The sequence below is a fragment of the Homo sapiens genome, chromosome 13 (assembly GCF_000001405.40).
Source record: "Homo sapiens chromosome 13, GRCh38.p14 Primary Assembly".
NCBI classification, from domain to species: Eukaryota; Metazoa; Chordata; class Mammalia; order Primates; family Hominidae; genus Homo; species Homo sapiens.
In genome coordinates, this window is record NC_000013.11 from 95,571,434 (window position 1) to 95,592,773 (window position 21,340).

A 21,340-nucleotide genomic window follows, 5' to 3' on the forward strand; every position below is an offset into this window, starting at 1 on the left:
GGCACCTGTCACTATTTTGCAAGTCTTGTTGGATGCCTTGGGTAGGAAGTCCTTTGGCATCTGCCAGGCAGTGGGAGAGAACCCAGCAGAGGGGGAGGCTGAGCGTCTCATAAGAGAGACTGGACCATGGCAGCCTCAGAGAGATACGCAGGATCAGCGGGCACCCCACATAACTGGGGCCCCAAAAGAATGAGGCGTATTTTGGGGAAATGCTGATAATTGCTGTAGAATACTTATATAAAAATAAAATCAATTCATGCAGTTATATAGATCTTAGATTATAGATTATATTTAATATAAGACAATGCACTGAAGAAAAAGTTTTATGTTAGACCAATAGAATTCAATTTTGAAATGTTAACTTTGATAATATATGAGTGTACTTTCTGGATTTTAAACTTTGTAAAAAAACCTATGTAGTTATTTTAAGGTAATTGGAAAATGCATTTTGGCTGTTACTACTCTTGATTAAAATGAGGAGCAGGACAATATGTTTGAAAAAGACACAATATTGAAGGATGACAAAAGACCTGGCTCCTAGCTCTGTGACCTTCAGCAAGGTCGCTTCACTTCTCTGGGGATCTTAAAAGGATGAGGTGCTTTCGTTTGTTAAAACCGATCTTGCTTTGTTTTGGGAGTGGCTGCTCTTTCCTTTTTCAGCTCCAACATGCCCTGATTTTAATTGGTATCCTCACCTCTTTTTGTGCCGGAAGAAAAGGCAGCCCGAGGGCATTCAGAAAAAAATCCTGTGCCCTGAAGCTCTTGAGCCACTGAGAACTTAATGAGCCAGGGAGAGAGACAACTCCGATCTTTCTGAAATGACAACTAAAAATATGTTGCATTGATTGGGTTTTTTATAGTTATAAAATCTTTTACTTAAAGTGTACATAAAAGGATGATGGCATGACAATTAAGAGCTTCGGTTTGCAATCACAGTTATGGGTTTTAAATCCTGGGTCTACCATTTACTTGGCTGAGACATGAAGGAACAAGTAATTTAATCTCCCAGAGCCTTAGTTTCCTCATTTGTAAAATGAGGATAGTAATACCTATCTCCCAGGCTTGTGATGAAGATTGAATATGGTAATATTTGTGAAAAAATCTTAGCACACACCGAAAAGTCCTAGTACAATGAGCTGACAGTAATAGTAGCTATTGTTAGCTACTATGGACATTGACTTGAACCACATCTGAGCGTGTTTGGGAGAACCACGGTAATGTTTACTTTGCAAAAACATGCTCTTTTTATTGTTTGATCACACTTTACTGTAATTATCAGTTTAATGTCTGACTATCCCCACTAGACTATACAATCTGGATCTGTGAGCCAGGGCCATGTCCCTCTTATCTGCCCTGAACACCTGATTAGCACAATACCTGGCATGTCATTTCTGTGTAGGTAACCAGAGGAGGTTACACCAGCTCCCCATGGATGGCAAACCTAACTCAGAATAGGGATTTGGGTGCCAGGAAGACAAAAGCAGGAGGTGAAAGTAAGTTGTTCAGCATTCCATTTCCTTAGGATTACTCTAAATGGCTAAACTACAAGTTGAAGTATGAAATGCATCAGAATCAAGGTCTCCAGGTTGGTGTAGCCCTGGCCAGCTCAACATGAAATGAGAGCCATGGGCAACAGCCTACAGCACCACATACAGCTGGGTGGAGAGTGACTTCACCTTAGATCTTTATGGTTTCTTCTTTGAGAAAATAATAAGTGGTTATCTGTGTTTTAATTTCTGTTAGAAGTAAATTTGTTCCACATTCCTTGTTTCTAAAGCCACTCAGTGACTTTATTAATGTGTATTGAAGTTATACGCGCAGCTTTTGATTAGTCCATCACCAAGATCCTCTAAAAACAATGTTTTCCTCCATAAATGAAGTTCTGTCCTCAACCTGAAAGTCATGGATATGGATTGGTCCAGTGTCATGTAGATTTGCAACCTTTCAGAATAATGAAGAAACTTTGGTATTAGTCATAAAGAGGGCACACTCTGAGCAGGAAGGCTGGCCGAGGGCCAGGAGGATATTGTTCACAAAAGACCTGCAACAGAGAATCTGAAATTTGGATAATCTTACCAAGGTGTTGAAATCAGCTTCTTAGTGTTACCGAAAAGGAAGAAAGATTTCCAGACAGAGACTAAATAAGTCTCCTAATCAATGTGAAAGAATATGTGCCTTGGGAACAAACTGGAGTGGATATTATGTTCATCTCTTTCTCAACCCTGTCTTTCAATAACACACGTCAGTTTTTTTTGATATTTTTAAATTTATTTTTATTTTTATTTGTGTGTGTGTGTGTGTGTGTGTGTACCTCTAAGTTCTAGGGTACATGTGCACAACATGCAGGTTTGATACACAGGTTTACATGTGCCATGTTGGTTTGCTGTACCCATCAACTCGTCATTTACATTAGGTATTTCTCCTAATGCTATCCCTCCCTCCTCCCCCCACAACAGGCCCCCGTGTGTGATGTTCCCCACCCTGTGTCCAAGTGATCTCATTGTTTAATTCCCACTTGTGAGTGAGAACATGTGGTGTTTGGTTTTCTGTCCTTGTGATAGTTTGCTGAGAATAATGTTTTCCAGCTTCATCCATATCCCTGCAAAGGACATAAATTCATACTTTTTTATGGCTGTATAGTATTCCATGGTGTATATGTGCCACATTTTCTTAATCCAGTCCATCATTGATGGACATTTGGGTTGGTTCCAAGTCTTTGCTATTGTGAATAGTGCCGCAATAAACATATGAACACATGTCAATTTTTGCCAGATACACACGGAGAGGTGTGAATTAAAGTCACTGTTGAGTAAGTCTGTGATATGTGTCTTTCAATAGAAAGAAGGAAAAGTCTCTGAAAGAACAAACAAGAGCCCTCACATCCAAATTGTTAAAAAAAAAATGGGGTAGATGTATGGTTTCTGAAATCATCTCCAAATGGATACTGTCTATTAAATGTTTGTCTCCAACATAATTCACACTGAAATGCAAATGGAAATGATTTTTTCCTTGGAATAGAGTGAATATGTAGTGACTTAGATATTTTTCAAAAAGGGCCACGTGTGGTGGTTCACACCTGTAATCTCAGCCCTTTAGGAGGCTGAGGTGGGTGGATCACCTGAGGTCAGGAGTGCGAGACCAGCTTGGCCAACATGGGGAAACCCTGTCTCTACTGAAAATACAAAAATTAGCTGGGCATGGTGGCACACACCTGTAATCCCAGCTACTCGGGAGGCTGAGGCAGGAGAATCGCTTGAACTCGGGAGGTGGAGGTTGCAGTGAGCTAAGATTGCACCACTGCACTCCAGCCTGGGTGACACAGTGAGATTCCATCTCAAAAAAGAAAAAGATACATAAAAAAGGATATATTTAAAAAGATATTAAATATTAATATAAGCCAAACTCATGATTCCTAAATTTCTCCAGAAAGTTTCAATATGGCTTAACATAGACCCAATTCCTCATCCGCCTGGGTAATTTATCCTGTGATTTGTAGCAATACTGTGTCTGTGTTTGTAATGCTCCTTTCAGTGAACTCATTGTGCCAAGCTATGCTTATGATTTCTATCATCTTCATCCCCCAACTGGCCACTATTAATAATTAGATATTTATTTATTTGTAATCAACCATGGTATCTGGCACTGGCATTCTATTTTAGTGAAGCTCAATATTTTCAGAAAAATCTCAGACCATGTTTTCAGGGCATATTTACACTAAGAGTAATATTAAGGTATAGTTTCAGGAGAGAAGATAGCCTAACCTGTACTGGGAAAAAAACAGAGAAAAATAGAAAGCGTTATACAATTATAGTCATCCTATAATAATGTACTTCATGCAGAATTTTTCAGTTATGCTCATTCCTTTAGTTGTCTGCAGTAAAAAGGGTGCCAACAGACAGATCTGATGCCATCTTCTAGGATTTCCAGGTGTTTCAGGGGCCAAATGACATGCACCTCCAGTTTGGCAGGCATGCTGCTTGTTGTCTGTGCATAATCTCATTAAAACAACATAAAAGCAGGGCTGATTGCAGAAATCCGGGGCATCTTTTTCAGGTGTGTAACACAATATTTAATGAAAGTATCTTTTCTGAAACTCCCGGTCAGCACTCCTGATTTAGCCAGCTCTTTTTTCACCTGTGGACTTCGCTGCTCAGTTCGTGTGTGTGTGTAGACTGAGGGTGTTTTTCCTCGCTTATACAAACCCTCTGTCTCTGCCATTGCCCCTTAAGGGAACCCGCTGAAGTTTCTCAGATGCCAAAGCACAGTTAGTGCTCCAGGGCAGGAGGGGCTTCCCCCTAGTTATTCTGTTGCAGCTGTTCCTTGCCCCATCAGTCACCCTGATGTCCCAGGAAAGGCAACACAAGAGTGAGTAAAGAAAGGGTCACAGAGCAGCATTTCTTGTGCACGTAACTCCATCCCAAATGAAAATGCACAAGTGGGCCCCGTGTCCCTGATCAATGTGATATGTGTCTTAAAATACTGAGGTTCACTAAAATAGGATGCCAGTGCCAGGTACCATGCATGCTTGATTAAAAGCACGCCCTGCTTCCTGCTCCCCTGGCTAGTGATGGGCCCACCCTATTACACCACCCTGCCTGCGACTCAGACCACACCAGAAAGCCTGCCCATGTGCAGAGCCAGAGTTCAGAGATAGTGACACTTCAAGTAGGCAGGGGTGCAGCAAGGCTCAGGACGAACCCAGGCAGCACTGGGTGGCCTTGATCTGATACCGAAGCCTGGCCTCAGCTCTTGAACTTGGCTCCCCTGCACCCTGAGGAAGGAACTAACCCTGGGCCCTGTCTTGCCTTCTCCTGGACCTCTTACTTTCTTGCCTCATCTCCCCTATGGATTCTGTGCAATCAAAACAGACCCTCCGACCCTGGCTTTATTTTACACTGAAAAGCACCAAGATTTCTTTTGCCTTGCAATGGAAGTTTATGGGCCCCAAATAAGAGTTACTCTTTATAAAAACAAACAAACAAAAACCTAAAATCAACCTATTCTTCTGGAGAAAGCTAAACAAACATGAGAACACACATAGTCCCTGAAATTTTGGTGTACTTTTCTCATTCCTTGTTCTCTGGGTGAATATATCTCCCCTGAAAGGATTTCCTCTAGTCCGCTACTGCAAGTGATCTTGTTTTTTGTCCTCAGTAGCACTGTTCATACCTTTGTTTCGTGGCCTTCCCAGGGGAAGTACTGTCTTGTTTATCTTTGCATCTGCTCCTGCTGCGGTCATCGGCAGAGCACTGTCACCTGCCATATGGGAGATCCTTAATAGTAATTTATCACTAAATGATAGCTATTGATTCATTTCCCCACTAGACTGCAGCGATTAGTGACGATTTGCACATAGCACGTGCTTAATAAACATTTACTAAATTGAACTAACATGAAAGCAAAAGCAACCTTTTGTTTTCTAACTAACTACAGTCTGCCTAAATGATTTGCGCTGCAGAACAGAACAAATAGATGGAAAGCTTGGCAAGGTTAAGGCAGCGTGCAGAGGAAAGGTGCTGGCTGAGTCAGGAGACCCTGGCTGTGACTACTTTTGCTTTGACTTTGCCCCCGTGGATGCCCTCATCTCCTTTCAGGATGTTGGGATGGTCTAATGGCTATAAAAACACTTTGGGAAGAGTTTACAGCATTTTACAGACACAAGGTGTTATTATTTCCTTTACAATTTTCAATAGCAAAAAAACATAATAAGCATTTAGTAAATGTTGACTATCAGTGTTAAATACTGTTTACTCTCCAAATAAGTGAGCTGTAATACTTGTGTAATGCTTTCTCACAGGTATGAATTAGGAGCCGCTCTGTTTATTGGATGGGCAGGAGCCTCACTGTGCATAATTGGTGGTGTCATATTTTGCTTTTCAATATCTGACAACAACAAAACACCCAGGTATGAAAAAGAGACAAAAATGACCTGTTAAAAAGTAGAATGCTATCATAAATCATTACATGTGGAACAAATTACAGATAGTTCATATGATTCTTAGAAACTTCCAAAATCCGGAATTGGAAAAGGTTAGCAGTACAGTTAATTTTTTAAAGTTTTACCATTACTATATTCCAAAGAAAATTCTAACGTAGAAATAAGGGTCTGAATATGAGGACATGTTCTTCACGTTGGCCTCATCATAATTTTCCTCTAGGTAGGCAGGAATGTTGATGGCCTCTACTAAGTCTCCTAGCTTCCAGGAGGGTGAGTTTTAAAACATGGTTTTGTAAGAGGATAACTGAACAAATGACCAAGTCATGAGTTTCTTCTGCAGAGATTCTCCATCCCACTCAGAAATGACACTGAAAATACTTCTTGGGGCAAGAGGAGAGAAGAAAGCTATCTAAGAAAGAGGAAGATTTACATTTAGATATTGGCAGAGACAGGCCGAAACAGTTTCTTCCCATTTTTGTTTGCCCTATGTGTAGAATAGAATCTACCAAACTATGTTTTACCTTTCAGATACACATACAACGGGGCCACATCTGTCATGTCTTCTCGGACAAAGTATCATGGTGGAGAAGATTTTAAAACAACAAACCCTTCAAAACAGTTTGATAAAAATGCTTATGTCTAAAAGAGCTCGCTGGCAAGCTGCCTCTTGAGTTTGTTATAAAAGCGAACTGTTCACAAAATGATCCCATCAAGGCCCTCCCATAATTAACACTCAAAACTATTTTTAAAATATGCATTTGAAGCATCTGTTGATTGTATGGATGTAAGTGTTCTTACATAGTTAGTTATATACTAATCATTTTCTGTTGTGGCTTTCTATAAAAAATAAACAGTTTATTTACAGGATTTGTAAAATGTTTTCTACATTTATATAGAACATGAAAAGCATTTAGTACCAAAGGTTCAAGAAGTATTCGTACTCTAGCCTTTTTAATCATTCATAGATAGAAGTCTTTGTACCCACTCCTTATGTTTCTTTTCATTCATAAACAGGTGTATAAGGAACAATGTCTTATAAACAGCATGGGGGCAATCTGAGAATATTCCTCAAAAGGTGTCCAGGTTAAATAGACATGTTACTGGCTGCACACAGGCAAATTCTAGTTTGTTTTTTTTAAGTATTCTACAACATTTATTTAAAAAGGTAAATCTTTTTGTTGAAGCAGCAAGTTATCTGGTAGAACTTAACTTCTACAGGATCAGAGAGGATCTTGCTCATTCATGGCCATATCCACATGCCCATGGCCACTCAGTAGATTGTTGAAAAAGCAAAGCCACACCATTCTCTTTGATGTATGCAGAGAGTTACGTAGCAGGGGATGTTCTCTGATTTATTCCACTGGCACCATTAGTGAATATTTAGTTGTTTTCATAAACGATGCTGTGATGAAGACTCATGTACATATTTAGCAAATTTTGGTTTCTTACATGTGCCTGTCATGACTGTAATTCATTATGACTGCTCCAGGAAGGGCTAATGGGGCCAATATATTATTGCCTGTCATGTGGCACATCCATGTTAAGGGGCTGAGGCGTCCCTGGCACGGAATGCAGAGCCCTGAGCTAGGGCATCAGCAGAAGCTGAGATAGAGATATTGGTCATGGTTGACTGAGGAGCCAATTAAAACCTGTTTATGCCTAGTGTTCCATTATTGGAACACTAAGCATGTGGGAGTTATTTATATCCTACTGCTCAAGGTCATCGCCAAGGTGTGATTGGAAAAATTCAAAAAATTGCAACCTCAGGCATAAATGGGTTAAGGACATCCCAAGCCCAAGTGGTACGTGCCTCACTCAGAACTGACGGGCCGAGTTCTATCTAGGTGTGTCTTCCAGAACCTGTTTACGGCTAACTGGATAACTGAGAGACTTGTCATTTCTAAAGACATTTAAGTTGCTCCAGGGATTTCTGAAAAAAGACACAGGCTTCTTCCTAGAGCCAGCCCTATATAACATGCCCACAAGGGCAACAGTTATCACAGTTCATACACACCTTTCATGTCCTGTCTCACTCACTCCTCACAGCCATCCTAGGAGATACATATTGTTTTCATCCTGCATTTACAGAAAAAGAAATGAAAACAGAGAGCTTAAATAATTTGCCACAGTAATGTCGAAACTAGGCCTTTGAACCAAGGCAGTCTAGGGTAAAATATAGTTTCAAAGTATGAATAAGAATTGGTATTTGTGTTATCTTTGAGTAAGAAACTGTCCGATATGAATCACAACGTGGGTGAATGTAGTATTTTCCTGAAGTGTGAAAGACTTAAAAAAAAGAATCACATTGTTCAGAGGTGCTCAATGGAAAGAAAAGGAAATGAACAAGTTTGTTAAAAGATAAAAAATAAAAAAAATTCCATACCTTGATAATCCTTGAAATATCTTTTGCAGAAATACAAATCAACTGAAAGACATGAAGGTAGATTAGGTCCTACAGGCCAGTGTGGGACAGGGTTGTGTAGGTGTGCATTTCAAACACATTTATTATTCAGAAGTGGTGCAGATAACGCTTAGATTACACCGAAGAATTTAGGGAGGGTGGGGGATGAAGGTCTGTTAGTAACCAGAAACACATTAGTTGGGCATCAGTAAGGGGCAACATAAAGGAATGGTTCCCCTCAAAAACGAACAAACCAAATTTTATACAAAAAAATGAAATGCAGCAGGGCGCGATGGCTCACGCCTATAATCCCAGCACTTTGGGAGGACAAGACAGCGGATCATTTGAGGTCAGGAGTTCGAGACCAGTCTGGCCAACATGGTGAAACCTCATCTCTACTAAAAATACAAAAAATTAAGCCAGGCATGGTGGTGGGCACCTGTAATCCCAGCTACTTGGGAGGCTGAGGCAGGAAAATCGCTTGAATCTGGGAGGCGGAGGTTGTAGTGAGCCGAGATGGTGCCACTGCGCTCAAGCCTGGGCAACATAGTGAGACTCTGTCTCAAAAAAAAAAAAAAAAAAAGATACAACTAACCATGTAAGCTAAAGGAGGGGCTCTTAAAAGACACAGATATAGTGACTTAATTTAAATACTGGGTTTACTTAGCAAAAGTTCATTTCCCCAAGCTCTTCTGCTCAGGAATGAAAACATGGCAGACACAAAACATGGAATAGAGACCTGGCTTAAAGTCTCCCCTTGACACTTTGTACTTGTATGGCTTCTGGCAACTTACTTAATAACTCTGTTTCTCACACCTTTAGGATGAGGATTATAACAATAACTACATCGCAAAGTTGTTGTAATTAAATGAATTAGTGCGTGTTCAAAACCAAACCAGACCAAGTGGTTCAATAAATATCTGCTGAATAAATAAATGAATGAACAAAGTGGCACATGGGCCATCTTAGGCTTGGTGTAGTTTTGTAGATTGCCGTTCTCTGTCCTACCACATGAAACTTGGATTCGGCCTTCTGTTCTCTGTCCTACTACATGAAACTTGGATTCAGCCTTCACTAAAGCTTTTAGAAACATACATATAAAGTGAGTATATCTGCATGAAATGGCCCCTATAGGAAGTTGGAAGGATTCTTTTAGAGGGCAGGAATGGGCTACAAGTAAAAAGGATCCCAGGGTGGGTGGAAACAGATAAAGATTTGTTCTAACCATTAGGACAGAATGTCATATGGCATAGCAATCAAGGCCAGATTCTCCCTCTGTAAGACCCCTAATAAGTACAAATTTAACTCAGAATTCATCTCTAATAACACAGCCACAGTCACAGTGATGTAACAGAGGGCTTTACTGAAAAGGTTGACAAATGAAAAGAGATCTAAAACCCAACAAATCTTTTAGTTAAAAGGTTACTTGGAAACAGAATATAGTATAACCAAGTTATAAAAATGCAAAAAACAGCTTATAAGAACTTTCTTTCGACAATGTCATTGTTTAAGAATGTAACTAAATTACTTTTGAGGTATTTCATAATACATGTTGGGTATTTTAAATAGTAAAAAAAAACATACATATGTGAATTCAGTAATGGCTCAAATATTTTCTATTTAGTCTGATAAATTAATTGGCACTTAAAATAACTATACTTTATTCATAAAATATCCAAGATAAAGAATATGCTATATAAAATAACCAACCATTTAATAGTAACATGCTTACAGTGGCTCAAAGCTGAATGTGACAAATGTACTCCAGGAAAATGTATTTAACATTGGACCTAGCTATATTCTAATCCTAAACTTACTTTTTTGGGGTGTGGAGGGGTGGAGTCTTGCTATATTGCCCACGCTGGTCTTGAACTCCTGTGCTCAAGTTATCCTCCCACCTCAGCCTCCCAAGTAGCTGGGATTAAAGGTGAACACCACCACACTCGGATTAAACTTACTTCTATATGAAAAATAACCAGACTAACTTTTAAGGATTAGTGGTTCCACCAATTCAATTTTAAGACTACTAACAGAATTTTATAATATAAACGCCTACGATACGACAGCATACATAAGAAAAATATTTTTTAAAGTTTTAGTAATTCAAACCAAAACATGCTGTAAGTTTAAAAAAAATTCACTAAAAAATTAGTTGAAAAAAATACACTTAACACTAGAGTACCTTTCTGAAGAAAAAACTTTTTATGACTTCAATGACATGTTATTTTTAAGCAGCAGCGGAAGTCTTAAACACCTTTACATGCTTCGAAATACTGTTGATGATCTGATTTTCAATACTGTATTGGGTGCCATTAAAGAGACCATTGTTCTTTGAATCAGTCTCTGTGTTGCTGTGGGAAACACGGTAAGGCAGAAGCACTAGAATCATGGAGGCAAATTACTGAAACACTGTGATACTGAAATACTGCTGGCTTCTGGAATAATCTTCTGACATGTGGAATTAGACATCTGAAGTGTCGCTCCAATCAGTCACAGTTACTAAGCTGCTTTTTAATGTGCTTGATTCATTTTCTTGAAGTCCTGTAAGTGGTGGGTAGAGGCAGAAGAGAAGGCCTCAATGGTTAAACAAGCACATTGTCAAGTCTATAAAAATCCATAATTTCATATTGTCATTAATCACTCAGTGTCTAAATCTGTTCATGAATCCTCATCTCCCAACCCTCATGAGCTATGTATAGGACGCCACTTTAAAATCCAACTGTGAACTGGTCGCATCTCTAGGATACACTCAGGACCCTTGGATGCAAGCTTCTGCCCTGCAGCCTACAAACAGCAGGGACCACATCCTGCTTCCCACTCCTTCCCCAGCATTCAGCTCAGGGCCTGGATGTTGAAGGTGCTCAGTACATTTGTGTTGTAGTTACTGACTCTGAGTGAATAGATGGTAAAGAAAGAAGGATGAAATTAGCAAGCCAAGTAAAGTGTTAAAAACATATTTTCTAGGTAGATAGGATTAACAACGAAGTCAATTTTAAAATGCCATGATTTTGAGCCAGTGAAATAGAGTGCAGAGAATTCCACTCAAGTTTGACTCTAGAAATGTGTTCCTCCAGGGGCACAGGTTTATGATGTTGGAGGAAAGAGACAGGAGATGTCCTTAGGGCATCCTCTTGGCCCTGTAAAGAGTCACTCTAATGCCAACAGGTCTCCTGGTTTTCAATAATTAGAGTTGATGCTTAGCACAGATAACTGATGCCAGTTATGCAACAGCTATGTTATAACTGGACAATGTGAGAGAAAAGGTAGCGTGAAGGAGACAGGCAGCAACATCTTATCTTACAAAGGGGCGAGAGGCTGCTGAAAATGGAAAGAGCAAGGGTGGAGACATGCAGGTATTAACTTAAAATTACAGTCTGGGTGCAGTGGCTGACACCTGTAATCCCAACAGTTTGGGAGGCTGGGGTGGGAGGATCATTTGAGCCCAGGAGTTTGACACCAGCCTGGGCAAGCTGGTGAGACCCCATCTCTTAAAAAAAAAAAAAAAGTAATAAAATTATAAGTAGGAGTACAAAAACAGTGAAGAAGGCGTGAGAGGTGCGGTGGGTGGTGAAAATGAGCCAAGTCCCCATCTGTCTTTGCAGGACATCAACAGTTAATATCTAAAGTCAATGAATCAACAAAGAGTGGTTTAAGGCCATTACTGAGAGGCACAGAGCTACCACTAATGAAGGTGGTGCGATGGCATAGAGAAGCCTTCTGAACAACTCAGCTTTCAACATGTGCAAGAATTACTTTGACAAAAAAATTACAATTTTCTAATTTAAAAAAAAATTACTAAGTTATTGGGCTTATCTAGGCTCTAGATTGGGGGATATGAAAATCATTTCAAGTAATTATCTCATAGTATTTCATCCCACTGACTACACGGCTACAAGAGAAACCTCCCTTGGGAGAAAATGAAGAAAAATATTTAATAGGGAAACAGACTAATACAGAGAGACTGCCAGAAGAGTGGTCTCATTCAGGTATATGATCAGAAATTTTAATTCCTAAAAGGCATCTTCATGAAGAGAATACGTGTATAGACATTTTTAAAAATAATATAAAAGCTGGGCATGGTGGTGCACATCTGTAGTCACAGCTACTCAGGAGACTGAGGCAGAAGGATTGCTTGAGCCCAGGAGTTTGAATCCAGCCTAGGCAACATAGTGAGACCCCATATCCTAAAAAAAATAAAAAAATAATAATAATAAATTTTTTTTGAGACAGAGTCTCACTCTTTTGCCAGGCTGGAGTGCAGTGGCGTGATCTCAGCTCACTGCAACCTCCACTTCCCAGGTTCAAGCAATTCTCCTGCCTTAGCCTCCCAAGTAGCTAGGACTACAGGCGCGCACCACCATGCCCAACTAATTTTTGTATTTTTAGCAGAGACAGCGTTTCACCATGTTGGCCAGGATGGTCTCAATCTCTTGACCTCGTGATCTGCCCGCCTTGGCCTCCCAAAGTGCTGGGATTACAGGCGTGAGCCACTGCGCCTGGCCAAAAAAAAAAAAAAAATAAAAGAATACAAACAATTTGGGGGCCACGAGCGGTGGCCCATGCCTGTAATCCCAGCACTCTGGGAGGCCGAAGTGGGAGGACTGCCTCAGTTACTGGGGAGGCTGAGGTGGGAGGGCTGTTTGAGCCTAGAAGGTTAAGGTTGCAGTGAGCCATGATGGCCTGGGTGACAATAACACCGTTTCAAAAACAAAAAATAAAAATAAAAATAAATTAAAAATTTAAAGACTAAAGATTAGTCCTATAATTAAATAAAAATAACAAGTAAATATATATGAATCAGTGAGTTATGCATATCCAATCCTTATTTAAATAACATAAAGAAAGCACTGACAGCTTTTTTGTCTGATGATATACCAGCATAAGTTAATTAGATATTTATAAAGATGAAACACAACTAATAAGAAAATGGATCGAGCTTGTATTAGAGGGGAAAGCAGCAAACCTTCTCCCTTTGGCCCCTTAGGATTAAATGCGCCCCAGGCATTTAGCACATGAGCAAAATGTGGTTCATTTTTCGCAGGTGGAGGTTCCTTCTGTTCTTTCCCAGATTTTTTTCCCAAAGATATCTCTTCCTCTAGGGATGATATGTCCCAGTCTTCATCCTCCACATCCGCACACTAAAAGAAAGGCATGGAGAATAATTAATGTTGCTTAGAAAAAAATGGTGTCCCTCAATCATTTTATTGGTTAGACTGAGCATCTAACACTGAACCATAAGGAAAGAAGTGGGGAACTATTAATACTTCCAAATCTAGTCATTTCTGCAGGGCAATGAAATAGATTTGGAAGTTGGTATTTTGAAATCTGAATCATCTCTTTTTCGTTTCTGCCATGGAAATATATGTTTCCTACTCTACCAATCATGAATGTAGAAAATTCCAGAAATACTACACTGTAGCGGTATGAAACTCTAAAAGTCAGGGTGCTCCAGAGTAGGAGTGAGGCTTGCTCTTGCTTCTTACCTCTGTGATAATAATGACATCTAACTGTGGGTACATCAGACCAACCGAATAGCCCCCAACTGAAAGGTGCACACAGTTCTACCATGCCCTTCCTAAAGAAAGATGCTTTTGCTCTCTCTTGAATGTCATAGGACTTTCTGTCATTTTTGGCTTGTGTAACACAAATAGTATTAACTAATAAAAGTAATTTGACAAAATGCCCTGGACTGGAGGACCAGTCAACACAGATGAGCTGTGCCCAGAAATACAATGATAGAGCTCCATCCACAGAAACACCTCTGGCGTCCTGGCTGTTAGAACCACTGGGAAAATGTTTGGGCTTCTTCTCTAATGCAGACAGAGGAGCTTGGCCTCCACCCTCACTTCGGCTCCCAAGTGGAGCTAAACCCTCAAAAGTACCTAAGGTCTCATGCCAGGGTAGTGAAGAAGATCTGAAGGGCCCCAATTCTGGCCAGTCACAAATTTCTTTGTACAAACCATTTGATATCTGCAAGTATCAGATAATACATGTGACAGGATCTTGAAAACCTGTAAAGTGTCATGCTTATTATGTATTGTTACAGTTATCACTCCAATATCTTTGTCTATGGAATGGAAAGAAATGCAATACTGAGAACAAGAAAGGTGAAAATCTCAACCTCTACTCTACCAGCTAACTATCTGTTTTATATTTCACTACAAAAAGTGTGACCATTAAGGTGCTGTCCAAAGACAAATTTATGTATATCTAGCAAGTAAAAGTGATTTCACCTTTAGTTCTTGTAATTCTTCTTTTTTGATAAACATCTCAGGGACATTAGTTCCACCGACTGGTTTGTTCACATTTTTGCGATGTGGAAACATCTTTTCAACTTTTTCAGTAGGTGTTTTAACGGCGACTCCTATAAGATCAATAAAAATTAGGCAAGTTAAGTATTTAAAAATTTAATCTATCTTTAGTTCCAAAATAACCTTACAGGAAACTTTGAAAGAGTCTAAGCTTTGGAAGTAATTATGTATTATTAAAATAAAATCAGTTGATGTACTTTGGGGTTAGAAAATTTAACACACAATCCTTAAAAAAATCATAATCCTTCAGACTATGAGCTATATAACATTTTCATTTTATTTAGTTAATTAAAAAAAATAGAGACGAGGTCTTGCTATGCTGCCTAGGCTGGTCTTGAACTCCCGGGCTCAAGCAATCCTCCTGCCTCATCCTCCCAAAGTGCTGGGATTACAGGTGAGAGCGACTGTGCCTGGCCTAAAGTTTACATTTTAAATCAAAGAAAGAGGATCTCATTCAAGTGTGTGGTCAGAAATTAATTTCAGTGAGATAACCTGCATGAGTGGAATATTCATATGGGTATTTACAAAAACAATATGAATTTTTAAATGAATTATATTTTATCTAATTATATAAATACATAGTATATACCCATTATATACAATATAAATTACATCCAACAATATATTAAATATAATAAATTACACACAATATATTAAATATAATAAATTACACCTGATATGTTTAAAATATATAATTTTAAAATTGCATTAAGCTGAATTTTTTAAAAAAATAATGACCCATCAGCTCTACTTCTCGTCAGCAAATATTTGCAGTGACAGGCTAAGATCTTGTCTTCCTTTAGTATTACTCCAGCTCCAAGAGGCAGCACAGTGTATTAGAACAGCCATTCTCATAGTCACCCAGTGTCCTGGGTTGACTTGTGTCCCTCTAAATTCACATGTTGAATTTCTAAACCCCATTGCTTAGAATGTGACCTTATTTGGAGGCACAGTCTTTGCAAAGGAAATCAAGGTAAAGTGAGGTCATTAGGGTGGGCCCTAATCCAATGTCCTTATACAAACGAGACATCTGGACAGAGATGCACACAGAGGGAAGATGATGTGAGGATGCACAAGAAGACAAGTCAAGGACAGAGGCGCGGAACAGACCCTCCCTGGCAGCCCTCACAGGAACCAACAGCGCCAACACCTTGATCTTGTACTTCCAGCCTCCAGAACTGTGAGGCAAGAAGGTTGTGTTCCTTAAGCCACCCAGTTTATGGTACTGTTATAGCAGCCCTAGCAAACTAATACACCAGGTATCATTCCCAACTCCTTCCTCTCCTTCAACTGGAATGTGCTAAACCCTGCCCATTTTCCGTGGGTGCCTTTGGGATCCGCTGCATCTGTTCCTTGCACACCCTCCCAGCTCAGACTCCCAGTGCTCGGTACACACGGGTGAGGACAACTGTCCTAAATACAGTTTCCAGAGAGTTTTCCAAGGTAACAGCTCACCTGCGGGCTTGGGAGAATCATCAGTGTCCTCGATTTCGCTTCCCTCGGTCCCGTCCGCGTCACTTTTCACTGTGTTCTTCCCGAAGCTGCCCTTGTTTTGTGGTGGCGGCACAGGAAGTGGGCCTGGGGATGCGTATGCCCGGATGAGGTCGTCGTCCTCCTGCTCCTCCTCTGAACTAAAAGGAGGGGTCCTACACAAATCAACACCGAGATAGGGGCGCTGTTTTCGTAACGCTTTAGGATTTATAATATTAAGAGATGTGCCTCTTAAAGTGGTGGCACCTTTCTCAGGTAATTCTCAGTGGGCACAAGTGCCTTTGGGGCTATGGCCAAGATGGCGGCGAGGCCAGAGGTTATACCCACGGCTGTAGCATCCTCCCACGCCCAGATCTCTGCCAGCCACGGGGCATGTTTATCAAAATGGGCTGAAGCCGGGGCCTGTCTCCTCTAAACCCAAATGTGTATATATTCTTAATAATTTTGGTTTTCACACACCTAAGAAAAACATTTCCTCAGTAAAACCACTCCATGTTTTAAAATTGTGTCATTACTTACAGCTTCTTTATACTGCACCTTCTTGCAAAGAGCTTTTACATACACAATCTCATTTGTATTATCACATGAATTATTACCCCCATTTTAAGGTGAAATAGAAGTTCAAAGCAGTGTTCGTTCATTTAAATAATATTTATTGGGCACCTAAATTCCAGACAACGTGTCAGTCTTGTACATGTTGATTCATTCACACCACATCCCAAGAAATAATGCTCTTCCTATGAGATTACGTATAAGAAAAGTGCTTTTGAAGGGTGAATCATTGTTTATTGTCTCTAATACACAGTGCCTCAATGAAAAGATATTTATGTCATCAATATCTCCAGAATAAGGCAATGATGATTAAATTATTCATGATAAAATTAGTCTTACTCATAATTAGTAACAATATACCTACAATTTATTGAGTACCCACAAGTGCCAAGCACTGAGCCAAGCCCTCTTCATACATTCCCATTTAATTTGTAGAACTATCTCGTGAAAAAGGCAGCATTATTCCATATTACAGATAAGGAAATTGAGACTTAAAACATCCCATACTACAGATAAGAAAACAGGCTTAAAACAGTAATCAACTAAATCAGTAGCACACAGGTGATGAACAACTGGGCTAGGGTTTTTAGTATCCTAAGAGAACCTAAGACAGGAATATCTACTAGGGTCAGTATTAACTTCCACAAAAAACTGGAAACACTAAATTATTACATTTAAAACAAACTTACACTGTCATGAGCCTAGCCATAAAAACTCAACATCAGCCATTTAAGTTAAATGTACTTATTGAGAAATTACTCAACATTGTAGGGGGATGGACATAAGAATGACTCAGGTGTCTTGCTTCTTAATGGAGTCCACATGTGGTTAAGGGCTATTGACTTATGTAATAACTGATAAAGAAACAAAGACATGTCACAAATAACATATCACAAAGGAATGACAAATTATGATATTAAATAATTACGGCTTCATTCAACCATAATGAGCACGCTACTTTAAAATGAAAGGAATGTTCAGTGAAAATAATTTTTTAAATGACCCTCCCATCCCTGTCAATACTCACGTAATAGTTGAAGACTTTCTGGGAAAAGGATCTTCCATGACATTTTTCTTAATTCTAAAAAAACAACAGAAAAATATTTTTAAATTGCATAAGTTAATAATATAATTTCACATACATTTCTATGGAACTGGTGATTTTTGCTTTTGACATACACTAACGAGGAAGAGCAGCAACAAAAGTCACCCAGCGTCAGTTAGAGACTGGTAGGAATTACAAGTGTGATTCTCAGTTGGACCAAACACTGTTATGGACTCAATGTCTGTGTCCCCTCTGCCCCAAATACATATGCTAAAGACCTGACCCACAGTATGATGGCATCTGGGGGGCCTTTGGGAGGTGATTAAGTTTAGATGAGGTCATGTGGATGGGGGCCCCCATGATGGGATTGGTGCCTTATAAGAAGAGGAAGCGATGTATCTCCTTCAGAGGTATCTCCACCATCTGGAGGCATGGCAAGAAGGCAGTCGTCTGCAAGGCAGACAGCCTTCACCGGAACCTGACTATACTGGCATCCTGATCTTGGACTTTCAGCCTCCAAAATGGGGAGAAAATAAATTTCTGTGAAGCCACCCAGTCTATGGTATTTTGTTAAAGCAGCCTGAGCTAAGACAAACACTGATAAAATAAATCTGAGGGCTGAAATACTCACTTTGGAACAGATGTCCTATCAGTAGAAACAGCTTTTTGTCTAATCAGTTGTCTGTTTTTGGAAGGAAGTTGTATCATTTTGGGTACTTCTCCAGTTGAAAGGGTATCCATTTGAGAAACACTGCACTGATCTGGAATATAGTGTCATTCATGAGTCTCCATTACCTTTATGATCAGTAAGTGAAAAGCAAAGGTAAACGGTATAATACCCCCTATGCTGCTGTGGCAATGAACAATCCCATCTCTAGGGTTTAAAGCCAGACTCTAGGGTTGTTGTTTTGTTTTTACTGTAAAAACAAAATCCAAGACCCAGCATTTAATAGTACAAACAGTAAAAGAGTTGCCAGTGAAGTGGCGAAGTTTGTTAACCATTTAAAATTATAATAATTTGTTTAATGATATCTTGTGGTGAAAAAAGAAGAAAAAAAGAAAAAGTTGTTAAATTAAGCTCCCATTTGCAGTGGGTAACAAGCTTACCTGAAGAGAGTAGTGCTTTCTCCTCAATTTTACAGCTGACTTGATGTTCAAGGAATTCTCGAATTTGATGAAAGTTAGGTATTTCTCTTTCTTGCTTATGTCTTTCTGATTCCACACTTTTTAGTACTCTATGCAACTGATCACTTGAAATGCCACGTATATCCTGAAAGAATAAGATGTTAAGTTGGCCAGTTATCCTGGGAGGTTTCATTTCATGGGCATATATCAGCATTAACTGTGCCAACATTTCAATCCATCCTTACAGGGCTCCAGTTGTGTGTAGAGGGTAAGGGTGCCCCAACAAGTAACACACTGTCCCCAAAGGGGCCATGTGTTCAGTTGGGCACATAAGGCATGCATATGTTTATGACTGGCTGACCGACGAGGCTGTGTGTCATAAGGACCCAATGAGTCTACAAAGGCTAGAAGAATTCCAGGGAGGGAGGCCATCGAAGGCCCCAGTGGCCAGAGAAGGCTGAAAGGGGAGGCTGAGCTGTGGCCTGAAGGACAGGTGGAGTCAAACAAGTAAAAACAAGGAGAAATTTCCAGATGGGTAGGCATGAGATAGGGACACCTGTGAGAAAGGAAGCTGTCGAGGCAGAAACAGGTAAGGCACGTCCCACAGGCTAATGCTTAAAAAGACCTGGGTGATGAAACCAGCAGAAGAGACTAAATGCCAACCCAAAAGGCTGAAAGGTTATTCTACAAGGAACAATAGGTCATCAGAGCATCAGAGGTGACTTCTTTTTTTTTTTTTTTTTTTTTCCTGAGACAGAGTCTCGCCCTGTTGCCCAGGCTGGAGTGCAATGGCGCAATCTCAGTTCACTGCAACCTCCACCTCCCAGGTTCAAATGATTCTCTTGCCTCAGCCTTCCGAGTAGCTGGGATTACAGGCACCCGCCACCACGCCCAGCTAATTTTTGTATTTTTAGTAGAGATGGGGTTTCACCGTGTTGGCCAGGCTAGTCTCGAACTCCTGACCTCGTGATCCACCTGCCTTGGCCTCCCAAAGTGCTGGGATTACAGGCATGAGCCACCGTGCCCAGCTAGAGGTGACATTTAACTATGAAAATAGCATAATTAAAGAGACAATTTGAGAAAAGTCATCTAGATTTGATGAGAATCTAGACAGAAGAAAACTAGTTAAAGGGATATTTGTTGAATAACAGTGTCTCACACACACAGCTACCTCCCATCTTTGTTCCCATCCCCCTTGCTTCCCTCAGCCTTCCCAGTCCCAGGGAGTGGCCATACCACCCACCCAGTTGCCCAGGACAGAAATCTCCATCATCAAATTAAGTACCACCTCCAAGAAGAAGTTTTCTCTGACCTCAGTTATTCAATCAACCCCCTCCTCTACTTTTCCTTTATTTCACCTCATATAATCTAAATTAGAGAGCTCCCATTTGTCTGGGAAATCATTTGTTTCATGCCTGTCTTCCTATACCATGTAGCTGGAGGATAAGACCTAATACTGTACAAATGTCAATCCTTCCTACTTAATATACAAAATTTAAAACAATTTCAATCAGAATCCCAACAAGGGTTATTCTGGAAGTTGAAAAGTTATTCCTAAAGTTCATTGGAAAACAAAACATGGAAGAATTACCAATAAATTTTTGAAATAAGACTAATGAAGAAGGCATGGCCTATAAAAGATATTAAAACACAGGACAAAGCTACTACAATTAAATTAGTATGGTATGGGAAAAGGAACACACAAAAAAACAAGGTAAAACAGTTGAAAGTCCAAAAACAAATCCAAATGTATATAGGGATTTCTTATATGACAAAAATGTCCTTTTAAATAAATGGAGAAACTATGGATTATTCAACAAATGATATTGGGACACCTGATCCAACTGGAAATTAAGTTAGCTCTCCAAATCACTGTTTCAAAACCTAACTCTTAAAGCCCAGATAGACAAAAACAAAATAAGCAAAACAACAAACAAAAAACTAGGAAAACCTCTCCAAGCATTAGAGAAAAAAAAGAATGTTTTAATAATCTTAGGATAAATGAAAATGTCCCAATTAAAATTAAAACTCAAAAAACCACTTGCAAACAACCAATATGGAAAACTACAATTTTAAGAAACAATCTGCACAGGAACCACACACATTCCATGAATGTCTTTGATTTCCACTGCCCAAAGGGTGGTCAAAACCCACCTAAAAAGGGTCTATGTGGAAATTTAAAAAGACTGACTGAGTTGATGAAAGATGTGGAGCAACTGAACTCTCAAACACCGTTAGGGACAGTGTGAGTTGGTACAAGGACTTTGGAAAACTATTTGGCAACAGCTACTGTACTAAACATATGCCTACCCTTTGACTCAGCAATTTCATCCCTAGATATATATTCAAGAAAAAGAAATGCCCATGTTCACCAAAAGACATGTACAAGAATTAATAGCCAAGAAGAGCCCCAAAATAGACACACAAATGTCCATCAGCAGGGAAGAGATAAACTGTAGTATATTCACACAATAGAA

At 39.7% G+C, this 21,340-nt stretch overlaps 2 protein-coding genes across 29 annotated transcripts in view; one reads left to right on the forward strand and one right to left on the reverse strand.

The window, feature by feature from the left end:
* CLDN10 (claudin 10) overlaps positions 1-8,326 on the forward strand; it is a 146,005-nt gene extending 137,679 nt beyond the window's left edge. For all 4 annotated transcript variants that reach the window (NM_182848.4, NM_001160100.2, XM_047430765.1 and 1 more), the window contains 2 exons: positions 5,798-5,905; positions 6,467-8,326. In NM_182848.4, coding sequence (NP_878268.1) covers positions 5,798-5,905; positions 6,467-6,581 — 223 coding nt within the window. In that variant the 3' untranslated portion in view covers positions 6,582-8,326. The remainder of the gene's footprint in view (positions 1-5,797; positions 5,906-6,466) is intronic.
* Positions 6,769-21,340, reverse strand: part of DZIP1 (DAZ interacting zinc finger protein 1) — a 66,505-nt gene continuing 51,933 nt past the window's right edge. For 8 of the 25 annotated variants that reach the window (XM_047430173.1, XM_006719920.1, XM_006719918.1 and 5 more), the window contains 6 exons: positions 18,846-19,008; positions 18,370-18,499; positions 17,721-17,774; positions 16,106-16,296; positions 14,573-14,703; positions 13,145-13,477 (listed from right to left, as the gene is read on the reverse strand). In XM_047430173.1, the coding sequence (XP_047286129.1) occupies positions 13,166-13,477; positions 14,573-14,703; positions 16,106-16,296; positions 17,721-17,774; positions 18,370-18,499; positions 18,846-19,008 (981 nt within the window). In that variant the 3' untranslated portion in view covers positions 13,145-13,165. Of the gene's footprint in view, positions 10,881-13,144; positions 13,478-14,572; positions 14,704-16,105; positions 16,297-17,720; positions 17,775-18,369; positions 18,500-18,845; positions 19,009-21,340 lie in introns of those variants that run through there. The other 17 variants (NM_014934.5, XM_047430178.1, NM_198968.4 and 14 more) reach the window with 3 other exon arrangements.